This window comes from Homo sapiens, chromosome 10, assembly GCF_000001405.40.
Source record: "Homo sapiens chromosome 10, GRCh38.p14 Primary Assembly".
Classification (NCBI taxonomy): domain Eukaryota; kingdom Metazoa; phylum Chordata; class Mammalia; order Primates; family Hominidae; genus Homo; species Homo sapiens.
Window position 1 is genome coordinate 15,134,302 of NC_000010.11, and position 15,713 is coordinate 15,150,014.

The following is a 15,713-nucleotide window of genomic DNA, read 5'->3' on the forward strand; positions in this document are numbered from 1 at the left end:
CCTCTCCACACCCTCCCTGCCCCCTGCTCCCAGTGCTCTGGCCATGATGACCGGGGCAGGCCTCAGCTCAGGGCCTTCCTGGTGCCTTCCTTAGGCTTGAGGCCCTCTGGTCCTCAAGGGACGGGCCCCTTGGAATTCCCGACAGAAGCTTACGCATCACACGTCACTTTCTCCCAGCATCTGTTGCTTAACTAAAGCCTTTCTCTACCTCAGTGTGGCCGCTCCTCCCCAGCCTGGCCACCTTTTGTCCTACTTTTCCACCACTGTTTCCAGGTGTGTGCCCTGGACTATGCCTGGCATTTAATAACAGACACTCAACAGACACCTGCTCCATGAGGGACCTTCAGGGCCTGGTCCTTCCATCACAGAACCTTATATACATTTTTAATACTCTAATGGGCTAGGTGCGGTGGCTCACACCTGTAACCCAGCACTTTGGGAGGCCAAGGCAGGTGGATCACTTGAGCCCAGGAGTTCGAGACCAGCCCAAGCAACATACTGAAACAGCGTCTTTACAAAAAAATACAAAAATTAGCCAGGTGTGGTGGTGTGCACTTGTGGTCCCAGATACATGGGAGGCTGACATGGGAGGATGGATCACTTGAGCCCAGGAGGTGGAGGCTGCAGTGAGCTATGATCATGCCACTGCACTCCAGCCTGGGTGATAGAGTGAGACCCTATCTCAAAAATAATAATAATACTAGTAATGTTTCAAGTGTGGGGAAATTGGATGTTTTTATTGGGATAGAAATTGGACTAAAATAATGGTTATCAAAAGCCAATGTCACTATCTAATATTTATATTTTCAGAAGAAAAATATTAGTCTTGCATAGATTTCCAATCTGTGGTATGAAATAAATGATACATGTGAAGTTAACACTCTTTGTGTTTTGTTGTTGTTGTTGTTGTTGTTGTTGTTGTTCATCCAGCTTTGTTTGTGGGGAAAAAAAGAGAAAAGCAGAAAAACTTACCTAGTTTTGGTACCGGTTGTGTGTCCCAAAACTGGTATCTGTGCTTTGCAGCCTCATCAATGTTCCTGGCTGGGCCCTGGCATGCGGATAGCAGCTCCATTGCTCTCTGGATATCCTGCAACTTCTGCATTGGAACACTGGGATTCTACGACAGCAAAGACAGACACAGAATATGAGAGAGCGGCTGCTGATGTTAAACTTGAGCAGACGCACGTGCATCTGCCTCAGAGACTACAATACCTAAACACTAACAATCCTCCTCCAAGCCCAGTCAAGGCCATGGGCTTGTGTGTTACACATGAAAATAGAAGCAAACCCTCTGTTAAAGGTAACAACAGTTGTCTAGTTTTATTGGGGCTCTGGCAGTTTGGGGAATCTAAATTGAAGCACGCTTTGCTTCAGTTTCCCATCCATCTACAAATGGTCCCCGGCATTACTCCTCTGGGGGAGACGTGCAGTGCATGCATTACTGTCATCCAACAGCCAGGCAGCCACGAGCCTTGGGTGGGGGGCACTGTCAGAGTAAATGCTCTGCAGGAGCAACGAGGGGATGAAGGAAAGAACTTCTAGAATGGAAACACAGCAGAGAAGGGAAGGGAAGGGGAGGGGAGGGAAAGAAGAGAGAGAGAGAAAACAAAGAAAGAGAAAGAGAGAGAGAAAGAAAGAGAGAGGATCGGCAGTGGTGTCTCACGCCTATAATCCCAGCACTTTGGGAGGCCGAGGTGGGCAGATCACGTGAGGTCAGGAGTTAAGAGACCAGCCTGGCCAACACGGTGAAACCTTGTCTTTACAACAATACAAAAATTAGCCAGGCATGATGGCAGGTAATCCCAGCTACTCGGGAGGCTGAGGAGGGAGAATCGCTTGAACCTGGGAGGTGGAGGTTGCAGTGAGCTGAGATCGCGCCATTGCACTCCAGCCTGGGTGACAAGAGCAAGACTCTGTCAGGAAAGGGAAAGGGAAAGGGAAAGGAAGGGAAGGGAAGGGAAAGGGAAGGGAAGGGAAGGGAAAGGAGGGAGAGAGAGAGAAGGAGAGAGAAAGAGAAAGGGAGAGAGACAGAGAGAAAGAAAAGAAAAGAAAAAAGGAGGGAGGGAGCGAGGGAGGAAGGAAGGAAGGAAGGTAGGGGGGAGAGACAGAGAGGGAGAGGGAGGAAGGAGGAAGGAGAGGGACAGGGGGAGGAGGGAGGGAGAGAGGGAGGAAAGGAGGAAGGAAGGACAGATGGAAGGAAGGAAGGAAGGAAGGGAAATCTGAACTCAGTGCTGAACTGGGATGAAAATGATCAAGAAAAGAAATCTCTAACCATGCCCCTTCCTCCCGGCCACACCCTGCCCTTCTCCTGACCCTCCTGATCCTCCTGATCCTCTAGAGACAAACTCTCCCACCAGAAGGACAAGCAATTTCCTCTGTACTTCAGATCCTGGGCAACCATAGCCTGTCGTTCCCAGCCCAAGTGTTGGAAACTGGACTCCTTTTTAGGTAAAACATTACGTTTGAATTCTAAGGTTCCTTTCTCAAAGCCAATATTCCCGCCAGCTCTTGGAGATTCCCCAGTTCTTTTTTTTTTTTTTTTAATTCCTCAAATAACGTAATAATACATGGAACATGAGACTACTTGAAATGAGAAGACAGCGCAGAGGACTGAATATGGAAATCAATGACTTTTTTCAATATGTAAAATTACTGAGACATTGTAGAACTTTGATACCATGCAAAGAATATTCTTCGCTGTAATTCAGAAAGTGGTTAGAAGTTTCAAGAGCCCTTCGGTTTTGCTGTATGTCAACACAGGGTGGACACCATTGAAAGGTACAATCGACCCTTAGAAGTTTATAAACAGCAACTTTGGACTTCTGTTCCACTTGGAATCTGAAATCTGTGGTGTGGAGCAATAATTTTAACTTGGGAAGCTTACTCATCGTACACAGCACAGAACAGGGTTTGTTTCATACAAACACTGTCAAGAACCCTAAGGAAACGAAGTTCTGAAGTCCAGCTGGAGGCAGGTGAAAGTCTTTTTGTCTCTGCTTGGAAGTCTCACAGCACAATCCAAGATGGCCACAGTTTTTGTAAGCTGTTTATCTTACATTTGTTTAACATCAAAATCATAAAGGTCCTATCTTAATGACACATACAAATTTAACAAAATACTTTTCCGGTTCTCATTATTATATCTTTGGATGACTTCTTTTCCTTGGGTGTCTTTTAAGTCCCCAACATTAAAAGGAGCAAATTTCTAGCAAAATGAAATTCATGTGTATCTGAACTCCAACAACACCATCTATTAGAAGACCTTACAATTTAAATAGGAATTGAGATCACAGCATATTTCAACTAATAATGCTTAACTGTGCATCAGTTTAGCTTAAAATGGCAAAGTAGAGCCCAGTCTTATAAAAATAGAACTACAATGACTATAATGAATTTGTCATGGTACTTTTTCTTTCTTGATTTAATTTTTTGTTCCTTGATTTCTTTCCTGGTTTCTGAGTTAAATCTTCTAACAGTAATATATCAAACTCAAACTATTTTGCAACAGACATGAATCAGCATCTTTGTTCCACATGACCCAATGACCAAAATGACCAACTCCATGAAGAAGACTTCAGAGTGATTTATTCCCTACCTAATTAGCTCATGGGTTGACCAGCACACCTCTACATGAAATGTCCCTTTGCGAAACATTGATATCCCAATGTTCACTATTTAAATGCTTTCTTTCTTCTTCTTCTTCTTTTTTTTTTTTTTTTTTCATTTTGAGGCAGAGTCTCACTCTGTCGCCCAGGCTGGAATGCAATGGCATGATCATGGCTCACTGTGACCTCCGCCTCCTGGGTTCAAGTGATTCTCCTGCCTCAGTTTCCTGAGTAGCTGGGATTACAGGCTTGTGCCACCACGCCTGGCTAATTTTTGTATTTTTAGTAGAGACAGGGTTTCACCATGTCGGCCAGCCTGGTCTTGAACTCCTGACATCAAGTGATCTGCCCGCCTTGGCCTCCCAAAATGTGGTGATTACAGGCATGAACAACCACATACGGCTCTATTTAAATGCTTTCTGAAAGTAGATTCAAATAAACACAATTTCCAAATCCACAGGGACAAAGCAGTAAGGGAAACTCAGCTATGATCATTTCTCATGCCTGTCCATTCACCTTCCATAGTAGCACTACCTGGGAAGAATGAGTGTGCATCAGGCAAGGTGAGATGAATATCTACCCGACATTAACTTCCCACGATTCCACTCCTATATAAGAGGCAGGTATATTCTCTTTTTCTTCCACACATGCTTTCTGTGGCATACTAACCAGCAACTATACTCTTTACCCATTGTTTTCCAAATTTAATAGTACCTTGGAAAAAATGTCCAAGTTTTATAACACTAAGAAGTTTATAAGAATCCAAATATCATTTTTATTTTGGTTCTTGTATGTAGACCAGAATATTCTGCAATGCAGTCCACTGTAATTTACAGTGCTATCTAGAGTTGGCATAAGCTTAAAGGGAAAGAGCCCCAGATTTTAAAAATGCAGCAGAAAAAAGCCCATCTTAAGACAATACTGACTTCCTCCAAATTAAGAAAAGAAATTCCCTACTGTGATGGTTACTACTGAGTGTCAACTTGATTGGATTGAAGGATACAAAGTATTGGTCCTGGGTGTGTCTGTGAGGGTGTTGCCAAAGGAGATTAACGTTTGAGTCAGTGGGCTGGGAAATGCAGACCCACCCTTAATCTGGGTGGGCACAATCTAATCAGCTGCCAGTGCAGCTAGGATACAAGCAGGCAGAAAAATGTGAAAAGAGAGACTGGCCTAGCCTCCCAGCCTCCATCTTTCTCCCATACTGGATGCTTCCTGCCCTCGAACATCAGGCTCCAAGTTCTTCAGTTTTGGAACTCAGACTGGCTCTCCTTGCTCCTCAGACTGCAGATGGCCTATTGTGGGACCTTATGATCATGTGAATTAATACTTAATAAACTCCCCTCTATCTATCTATCTATCTATCTATCTATCTATCTATCTATCTATCCATCCATCCATCCCATTAGTTCTGTCCCTCTAGAGAACCCTGACCAATACACCTACCATATAATGCCAAGAGTTCGCCACTGCCTGGCTTGGCTCTAGTTTCTCATAAGTGACCAGAGAGAGGGGAAAGGCTCACAGTCACTAGAGGTGGAAGGGATGGGCAGAGACCAATGGTGATGCTGAAAGCAACAGGAGATGTCCACGCTGCAGGTCAGGGATGCCACGTTTATCTGATGAAGCGACATTTAGAAACGGGAAGAGTGTTTTGCAAGCTTATGGTGGTATCCTCTATGAGTTACCTTGGAAAGCTGTATCTAGTGGGTAGCATATTTATTACCCGAGAACCAAGTTGAAAAGCTAGGGAAGAAGATTCCATTTTCTTCTCACCCTGCAGTCAGTCAGGGAAAAATTGGGGCAAGTAATTTTCCTTCTCAGTGATTCCTGGTTCTTTTGTGTAAAACAGGTGACAACATCAAAACTACCTGCAAGTCTCACTTCATGGAACACAACAGAAACTCTGCATAAGAAAAAAGGAAATCCACAAAGCTTGTAGAATGGTAACAACTACTATATATATATATATATATATATATATATATATATATATATATATATGCACTGTTTTAGGATGTAAAAACTCTTCAATAAAAATGCTCCAACTGGAACCTCAAGATCGAACTGCGAGTTAGAGAGAAGAGAAGGAACTGGGCTGAAGGAAGTGCAGTACCCAGGCAAAGGCACACAACTAGTGAGCAAGGGGGCAGAGACCAAGCTCAAGGTCTCAGACATCACCCCTTGAGCTGTTTCCACAATACCACATGCTACTCACATTGATTGACTGATTGATTGATTGACATGGTCTCTGTCGCCAGGCTGCAGTGCAGTGGCGTGATCTTGGCTCACTGCAACCTCCACCTCCCAGGCTCAAGCTATCCTCCCACCTCAGCCTCCCAAGTAGCTAGGACTACAGGTGCATGCCACCGTGCCTAACTAACTTTTTGTATTTTTAGTAGAGACAGGGTTTTGCCATGTTGCCCAGGCTGGTCTTGAACTCCTGGGCTCAAGGGATCCGCCTGCCTTGGCCTCCCAAAGTGCTGGGACTACAGGCATGAGCCATCGTGCCCAGCCTATTCACAATAATTTATTTGTAGGTACGATCATCAAAATCATCTCTATTTTGTAATATTTCTAATTCTACCCCTTTTCTTTCTTTTCTTTCTTTTTCTTTTTTTATTTTTTTCAGCCAGGGTCTCTCACTGTTGTCCAGGATGAAGTGCAGTGGTGTGATCATAACTCACTGCAGCCTTGAACTCCTGGGCTCAATGGATCCTCCCACCTCGGCCTCCCAAAGTGCTGGGACTACAGGCGTGAGCCACCGTGCCTGGCTGGTTCTACCCTTTTCACTGTGAGTTTCTTGCATCAAGAGGGCTTTGTGTTTCCCAGAGGCCCAGCATACAGGGTGCCTGGGGGTTGGCTCCACAGACAGGGATGGCTGCCATCTGTGCCACCAGACACCCACGCAGTACAATCAACCCTCTTCTTGGCCACCATCTGCCAACACGGGGCCCAGCTGGACAACTTCTGGTTTGGTTTAAACTAGGAGAATGTCAGGAACTATTTCCCACCCTTGGCATTAGAATGAAGAACGACCGCTGCAAACTGGTTTAATTCAAAGTCAACGAGAGACTTACCCATGGCTGCTCCCGCTGAAATCTGCTGCCAGATGGTGTTGTGCTATTCAGGTAATTAGACAGACACCCAGAAAAATTACAATGTGAATATCTTCTGAACGAAAAGTAATCAAATATTAAAGTGTAATTTCAAAAAAACCTAACAAGCTCACACTGAGACTTTCTTCTAGAACGACAATCTAAATACAAATTCACTGAGAAAAGGGAAAAACACAGCAGGTATCCACACACACACAAAAGCACAGTGTACCCCTTCGTTATTTGGGTGCCAAAGTCCATTTTAAGGAGGCTGTCAAGAGCTTCCAGTTACTAGTGGCATTCAACACACAGTCACAACAAAGTCCCTACACATCTGATGCAGCAGCGCGCTAAACTGCGTAAACCCACTCATGCACGAGAAACCACACAGAGGAAAAAATAAAACAGAGCTCTCACTTTCGAAGGCTGCTGAATTTTAATCTCCTGGGAATCAGATGCCGAGTCTGACTTGGTGCCTCCGGAATTTGGTTTCTCCTTTTTTCTCTTCTGTTTCTTCTTTTTCTTTTTGGCTCCCAAATACCCTCCAGGACTTCTGCAGGAAATGCAAAGATGGTGAAACCAACCAACAAACAAAAATCATTAAATGAAATTGAATTGCATACAATTAATCATTTCAAAAAACACAGCTGTTACATGCAGTAGAAAATAACTGTGTTAGGATGTAGGTGAGGAATAAAAGGTAGTGGAGTGAAGACGGTAACAGGCAATGCAGAAGAATACCAGCCCCCGCTCAGTCATCCTGCAGGTGCTTAGAAGTCACGAAGCAGGAAGATTGCAGAGATAAACCACATTTTATAACTGAAGTAAAATAGTTTCCACGGTTATCACTACTCTCCTAATCTACGTTTAAGTCAGCTTTCGGGAGGAGAGATACATGATATGAAAAACTCCATTATCAAGATCTCTTGGGTACGACAGAACACTAATCTTGAAGCAACAGAACTAAACAAACCACTTTTTTGCAGAGGAGGAAATGTTCCCTGATAAAGATTTTTACTAGGGGGGCTAACAATGAAAAGCTTTAAGTGTCTAACTACAGAGAGAGACCCTGTCACAAACAATCACAAACAAAACACAAAGTGCTAGTTTTGTTACCTAGCATCTAGGTTATAAAGGAACTTTTCTTTCCACTGGTTATTCATGTTTTAAAGTAATGAACTTTTCCATTTAAAATGGATAATTCCTCTGTGACATCCAAATATGAAAGGCATGTGCAATAGTGAGAGAAACTGTTTAAGAACTAAGCACGCTGTTGGGCACAGTGGCTCATGCCTGTAATCCCAGCACTTTGGGAGGCTGAGGCAGGTGGATAGCTTGAGCCCAGGAGTTCAAGACCAGCCTGGGCAATAAGGGGAAACCCAGCCTCTACCAAAAGGAAAAAAAAAAATTAGCCAGGTACAGTGGCACGCACTTGTAGTCCCAGCTACTCAGGAGGCTGAGGTGGGAAGATAGCTTCAGCCTGGGAGACGGAGGTTGCAGTGAGCCAAGATTGTGCCACTGCACTCTGGCCTGGGCAACAGAGCTGGAGAAAAAGAAAAAAGAACTGAGCACTTGAGCTATAGATTCATATTTCCACTCCAATTCTAAAATAGAAAACAGTGCTTATTTTGGAAGATACATTAAGACTTTGTCAAATGGTACCCTAGTGGTTTAAAAATAGTAAGGTTTTGCCACCTCACAACAAGCAGTTTATTTTCATCAATAGAATCAAATTTGTGCTATCATGATGTTTATATTTAAAATCACCTGGTGGCCAAGGACACTCATCAATATCTGACTAGCAATTGGGATTAAACAAACATATCACAGCCAGGTACATGAGCTAGAAATATGCTGCAGATACGTTCAGTTTTGTATATTCTCTGGTTTGGGAGTAGGACTATTTTAGGCTTTCCTCTCCCGGTGTTCCTATTGCTGGCACCCTGTGAATTGGTGAATCCGTTGTACTGTTATAGTGTGATTTATGTATGCATTTGTATGTGCTACTTAAGAAGTCTATTCTTAATTGCGTCCCTAAGGTCTCCAATGCCTCACACCAGTACATACTAATACAAATGCTTGTGGAATGAATGAGTGGATAAGTCTGGCTCTAGAGGTGGTGCCATCACATATTCCCAGGCCATAAAATACTTCTGAAAGCTACCATTGTTTCAACCTCAATGGTAAAGCCTACTGCAACTTACTATCAAGTAATTATTGAACATTTACTATGTGTTCAGCATTATCTTGGGGCCACAGGCTGGGTGGGAGGGACCAAAATCATGGTGGACATGCCTGTGACTTCACAACCTAGGGGATTATCCCTCTCCCACTTCTACCATGTATTCTAACTGCTACTGGTTATGGCTTTCCAGAAACCACTAGGAGCCTGGGACCTCACAGCTTTTCTGTATAATACTTCCACTTTAAAATATCTCCAAATTTCCAAGAAGCTTGGTTACAGAGAGATACAGAATAAAAGGCAGTGACTGGGAAGGACGCTTTGAAGTAGATGCCTATCCAACTGGATGAAAATATATTTGTCCTGAGTGTCAGTTAGTAATTTGCTCAGCCAGGCATGGTGGCTCACGCCTATAATCCCAGCACTTTGGGGGTCCAAGGCGGGAAGATCGCTTGAGCCTAGAAGGATCTCTTGAGACCAGCCTGAGCAATATAGTGAGACCCTGTCCCCATAAAAAGTAAAAAATTAGCTGGGCATGGTGGTGTGCACCTGTGGTGCCAGCTACTTGGGAGGCTAAGGTGGGAGGATCACTTGAGCCTGGGAGGCTGCAGTGAGCCATGATCATGCCACTGCACTCCAGCCTGGGCAACAGAGTGAGACCCTGTCTCAAAAACAACTACAACAACAACACAACAACAATAATAATAGTCTCTAAAACAGATAAACTCATGGAAACTTGAGGGGATCTGGAGACATTTTAAAAAATTAAAATACCAGACTATTTCACCAAAAAATCCTTAAGTAAGTTTATATCACTTATTCTATAACTTACAATGCCTGTTCAATGAGGTTTCCAAAACTCCATTTTGGGAGTTAATTGATGCTACACATCAAAACTTTTTTTTCTTCCAAACGGTGTTGCTAAAATTTATATTCTTATTTTGGCATAATGGAGAAAGCGTCACCATTTTTGTTTACTCTAGTTCAGCAAGAGTTTTTCTTTTTCTCTCTTTCATCTCAACTTTAAATTGACAGGGAGCTACAGAAATGGGCACTAAGTTGGTCATCCCAGCCTCCAAACTCCCAGACATATCTGATAGCATTTATACAATGATGAGAGGCAGAGCTTCCCAGCCCTTCAGTGAGGAAGAGCTACTTTTCCATTTCCTGAGGCCATGAAGGAAACGAGACTTTGAGAATAAGAGCTGACCAGTGCACCGCTTGATACCCATGAGGATAATTATAATCAAAAAGAAAAAGCCAGGCCAGGTGCAGTGGCTCACGCCTGTAATCCCAGCACTTTGGGAGGCTGAGGCGGGTAGATCATGAGATCAGGAGATCGAGACCATCCTGACTAACATGGTGAAACTGCGTCTCTACTAAAAATACAAAAAATTTGCTGGGCGTGGTGGCGGGCGCCTGTAGTCCCAGCTACTCAGGAGGCTGAGGCAGGAGAATGGCGTGAACCCGGGAAGCGGAGCTTGCAGTGAGCCGAGATTGCACCACTGCACTCCAGCCTGGGCGACAGAGCGAGACTCCGTCTCAAAAAAAAAAAAGAAAGAGCCAGTGCTGGGGAGGATGGAGAGACGCTGGAACCCTCATACACTGTTGATGGGAATGTAAAATGGGGCAGCGGCTTTGAAAAACAGCTGACAGTTCCTCAAAACACTAAACACAGATTCCCTGTATACCCTAGCCATTACACTCGTAAGTACATAACCAAGAGAAATGAAAACTTATGTCCACACAGGAACTTGTTCACAAATACTCATAGCAGCATCATTCATAACAGCCCAAAACTGGAAACAACCCAAATGACCATCCTCTTATGAATGAAGACAGGAAATGTGGTCCATCTATAGGATGGATTATTCAGCAATAAAAAAAACAAAGAGTCGATAAAAACAGCAACATGAATGGATGCATCTTGAAAACGCTACACTAAGTGAAAGACACTAGTTGCCAAGGACCATGTATTGTATAATTCCATGTCTATAAAACGTCCTGACAAGCAAATCCACAGAAACAGAACTAGATTAGTGGTGGTCAGGGGCTGGGAAGATGGAGGGCTTGGGCATGATTAAGGGATGTGGGTTTATTTTGGGAGTGATGGAAATGTTCTAAAATTGATTGTACTGATGGGTGCACAACTCTGAATAAGCTAAAAGCTGCTGAATGGTATACTTTATTTATTTTTGGTTTTTAGTATTTGAGACAGAGTCTCACTTTGTCGCCCAGGCTGGAGTGCAGTGGTGCCATCTTAGCTCACTGCAACCTCTGCCTCCTGTGTTCAAGTGATTCTCCTGCCTCAGTCTCCCAAGTATCTGGGATTACAGGCACGTGCCACCACGTCCAGCTAATTTTTATATTTTTAGTAAAGACGGGGTTTCGCTACGTTGGCCAGGACAGTCTCAAACTCCTGACCTCAAGTGATCCACCCGCCTCAGCCTCCCAAAGTGCTGGGATTAGAGGTGTGAGCCACCAAGTCTGGCCTGAATGGTATGCTTTAAATGAGTGAATGGTATGGTATGTGAATTATATCAAATGAAACAGAAGTGTTGACAGGTGACACTCCTGTCCCTGGGGGTGACAGGATGATGTTATGGCCAGAGCAGATCAGGAGTCAGCTGTGGCTGCTTAGCCAGGGGTCTGCGTCCCACAGGACTCCAGGTACTCTGGAGGGAGACGCATGACAGAAAGAGATGCCCCCGTGCCTGGGTGGGAGAGGTGCTAAGCGGGCTTCCAGATACTGAAGGCAAATCCAGGCCCAAGAGAAGACTCTCCCTGGAAATCCAATGAAGAAAGACTAATTCAGACTCCCAGTACTCAAGGCTGATTACCAAGTCATGGAAATTCAGCCCTGCATATCATGTGGCCCTTTAAAAAGATTCCTCGGTCTTCAAGAACTCAAGTCCCACCTCCCTCTTCCCCAGGGTTTCACTTGAAAGGTCCACAAAGAAAAGGCTCTCAGTTTTGCCACCTCTGAAAGCCCGCACACTTCAGCTTCCATCCAGAGAGAATCAGTGGCACATTCAGACCTCAAGTAGAAACGAACACATTCCTTCTCAGCCATGGAAATGGCAAAAATTTAATGAGCACATCCAGCAAATCTCTTCAAAGAAGTATTCATGGAAACTACAGACAAGACTTAATGGGAGGGCCAATGTAACAGAGCCATGTAAACGCTTTACAGGTGGTCCAGGATGACATCCACAAAACCCATCGTTTCTCTCTCTGGACTCACAGCTGGACAGCACTTGCCAGCTGCCTTGTAGCCAGGTGTGGCCACTGACTGAGTTCCAGCCAGCGGAAGTGATGTGTGTCACTTCCTGCTGCCCAGAAACCCCTATGGGTGGCTTCTCCATGTCCTTCCTGTCCTTTGTGCTGTCTGGATGCAGACATAGGTGAGAGCCCCAAGGATGGCAGAGCCACACGATGGCGCAGTCTCGACCCTGGATGACAGAATGAAGGAGAACTCCCTCACCATCGTCAGAACATGTGCCTAGGGCTGGTCCATGAATGAGAAGGGAACTTCCACTGTGTTGTTCAATCCCATGTTAGGGTCTGTTGATTACAGCAGCCCAGTCTCATACAACTAACACATCAATCTTAAGAGTGACATCGGGCTGGGTGCAGCGGCTCACGCCTGTAATCCCAGCACTTTGGGAGGCCAAAGAGGGAGGATTGCTTGATCCCAGGAGTTCAAGACCAGGCTGATCAACACAGAAAGACCCCCATCTCTACAAAAAAATTAAAATTAGCCAGATGTGGTGACATGTGCCTGTAGTCCCAGCTACCTGGGAGGCTGGGGTGGGAGGATCACCTGAGCCCAGGAGGTCAAGGTTGCAGTAAGCTATGTTTGCACCACTCCATTCCAGCTGGGCAACAGCGAAAGATCCTCTCGCTCTCAAAAAAAAAAAAAAAAAAAAAAAAAAAAAAAAAAAAAAAAGTGACATCAAAGGAGCTCAATTTTTGGTATGTGAATTCCAAGGATAAAAAGTAATTTTAAATTTTATCAGGTACCACCAGAGGGATAACTTAGCTCCTCTCTACTGTGAAATACAAGAAACATTAGTGGTTTGAGACTAATTATTTTACAAATATTTCCCCCCTGAATTTCCAAGTTCCTGCATGGAAAATGGTGGGAATATAGCTGATTGTAATCTTCTCATTCGTATTTTCATGCATTTTTGAACTAGTGTATAATAATCACAATACCTTTGTAAGGAAAACATTATTAAACTACAACGGAACTGAAGAACAGATAAACAGGTCCATGAAATGCAACAGACATATCAGTAACAACCCATGATAGTAAAGAAACTTGATATATAATAAAGATCACATCATAAATCAGTAGTGAAAAAAAAATTTTTAATACATAGCATGAGAAAAACTGAATTCCTATATGCAGAAATATAAAATTAGTTTGCTGCATCCCACAACATGAAAAAAAAAACAAATTCCAAATGGGTGAAAGACCCAAACTTGGAAAACAAAACCTTAAAAGTGAAGGTGGTGATGTCCATTTACTCCACATGTTTCTAGTGCCTAGAACAGTGTCTGGCATTTAGTAGATGCTCAAGTAAACATCTGTCAAATGAGTAAGTGAAAGAATTAAATGATAACTTCATAATGTCCGTGAAGGAAACAATTACTCAAACGAGGACTCAAAAGTACAAACCATAAGAGATAATAACTTTTGAGTACACCAAAGTTAAACATTTCATGGTAAAGTGATTATAAAAAAATTTTTATGTTACAGAATAAGGTTAGACATTTATAACACAAATGAGAAAGTATTACCAGCCAGAATATATACAAAGGTCTTTTCTCTTTCACATTTTATCTCTAGGATGGTATAGAAAGACAACATTATATTCTGGCCAGGACTGCAGGCATTAAGTAGAGTTTGACTACCTGGCTTTGAATCCTGACTCCACAAGTTCTCAGCTGTGTGACTTTGAGTTTATTACTTAACCTCTCTGTGCTCCAGTTTCTGTAGCTGTAAAAGGATGTTTTCAAAAAACAGTATTAGGCCAGGTGTGGTGGCTCATGTCTGTAATCCCAGCACTTTGGGACGGAGGACAAGGCAGGAGGGCTGCTTGAGTCCAGGAGTTCGAGACCAGCCTGAGCAACATACCAAAACCTAGTCTTTACAAAAAATAAAAAATTAGCTGGGCAAGTTGGTGTGTGTGTGCCTCTGGTCCCAGCTACTCAGGAAGCTGAGGTGGGAGGATCACTTGAGTCCAGGAGTTTGAGGCTGCAGTGAGCCGTGATCGTGCCACTACAGTCAGCCTGGGCAACAGAGTGAGACCCTGTCTCAAATAAATAAATAGTATTAGAAAAAATGTGAGGATAAAATGAATTCATACATCTAAGAATTTAGTATAGTAGCTGGCACACAGAAATCATTCGGTACAAGCCAGCTATTATTATGATTGTACTGCTTTAGTTTTTAAATATAATTTATTGCTAGCTGGAACAGTATTGTCTCTCTCTAACTAGAACATAAGATCCATAAAACAGTGTTTTCTATTGTATTCCTAGCACCGAAAATAGTGTCTGACATATAAAAGATCCTCAATATTTGCTAGATGAATGAGAAATCAATAAAAAAAAATTAAGAAAAAGAAGACTGACAGAAGAATGGGCTGACAATATGAATAAGCACTTGACAAAAGAGGCAGACTTAACAACCAATAAGCTTAAGAAAACATGCTCAATTTCACCCATTGATTTGGCAAACATTTTAAAATCTAAGAATATCAGAAGAACGTGAGGAAAGGGAACACTCACATGCTGTTGGTAAAATGTAAACTGAAACAACCACTTTGTAAAGCAGTCTGGCATTGCTGCTGCCACCACCACCGCCACCACCACCACCATCATCACCATCACCATATCATTACTAACATCGTCACCATTATCATCATCACCACCATCGCCACTACCATTGATCGCCATCACCACCATCACTGCCGCCATCACCACCACCACTGCCACCATCATCACCACCATCATCACCATCATATCATTACTACCATCATTGCCACTGTCATCATCACCATCACCATCGCCACTACCATTGCCATCACCACCATCACTGCCACCATCATCACCATCACCATCATCACCACCATCACATCATCATCACCACCATCATCACCATTATCATCACCATCATCACCACCATTGCCACTACCATTGCCATCACCACCATCACTGCCACCATCATCACCATCACCATCATCACCACCGCCATCATCACCATCATCATCACCATCATCACCACCATCATCATCACCATCATCACCACCATCATTATCACCACCATCATCACCATCATCACCACCATCACCACCATCATCACCAACATCATCACCACCATCATCACCACCATCATCACCATCACCATCATAATCATCACCACAGCAGGCAACACTTCGCAACACTTACTATGTGTCAGGCACTGTACCAAGCACCCTACAGATATCAACTTTGTAAACTGTCACACTCGGAGGTAAGTGCTATTATTATTATTATTATTCCCGTTTTATAGATGAGGAAACTGAAATAGAGAGAGCTTAAGTAATTTGCTGAAGGTCACATGGTTAATAATGGCAGAATCAGGACTTGAATCCAGACAGCCTGGCTCCAAAATCCACATAATTACTACCCTACGTTGTCTCTCATTTATGTACTTCCTTGGGTTGACCATCTTTTCAGATAATTACCAGCAATTTTTAGGTCTTTTGTAAACTGCCTAATTGCGATCTTTGGACATTTTTTATTCACCTATTTTATGGAATTGTAATAGATCTTTGT

General features: G+C 43.4%; 1 protein-coding gene and 1 long non-coding RNA gene across 10 annotated transcripts in view; one reads left to right on the top strand and one right to left on the bottom strand.

The window, feature by feature from the left end:
* The window catches only part of NMT2 (N-myristoyltransferase 2), a 62,994-nt gene that overhangs the window by 28,602 nt on the left and 18,679 nt on the right, over positions 1 to 15,713 (bottom strand). For 4 of the 8 annotated variants that reach the window (XM_017016949.3, XM_017016951.3, NM_001308295.2 and 1 more), the window contains 3 exons: positions 7,121 to 7,256; positions 6,686 to 6,728; positions 973 to 1,117 (listed from right to left, as the gene is read on the bottom strand). In XM_017016949.3, coding sequence (XP_016872438.1) covers positions 973 to 1,117; positions 6,686 to 6,728; positions 7,121 to 7,256 — 324 coding nt within the window. The remainder of the gene's footprint in view (positions 1 to 972; positions 1,118 to 6,685; positions 6,729 to 7,120; positions 7,257 to 15,713) is intronic. The other 4 variants (XM_047426019.1, XM_005252642.6, XM_006717539.5 and 1 more) reach the window with 1 other exon arrangement.
* On the top strand, positions 1,117 to 6,828 carry LOC107984210 (uncharacterized). 2 transcript variants are annotated; one of them, XR_002957064.2, is made up of 3 exons: positions 1,117 to 1,300; positions 2,339 to 5,551; positions 6,238 to 6,268. It is a non-coding gene; the product is annotated as an uncharacterized LOC107984210 (long non-coding RNA). The 2 variants fall into 2 exon arrangements; XR_007062067.1 differs by having other exon boundaries at positions 1,117 to 5,551; positions 6,238 to 6,828.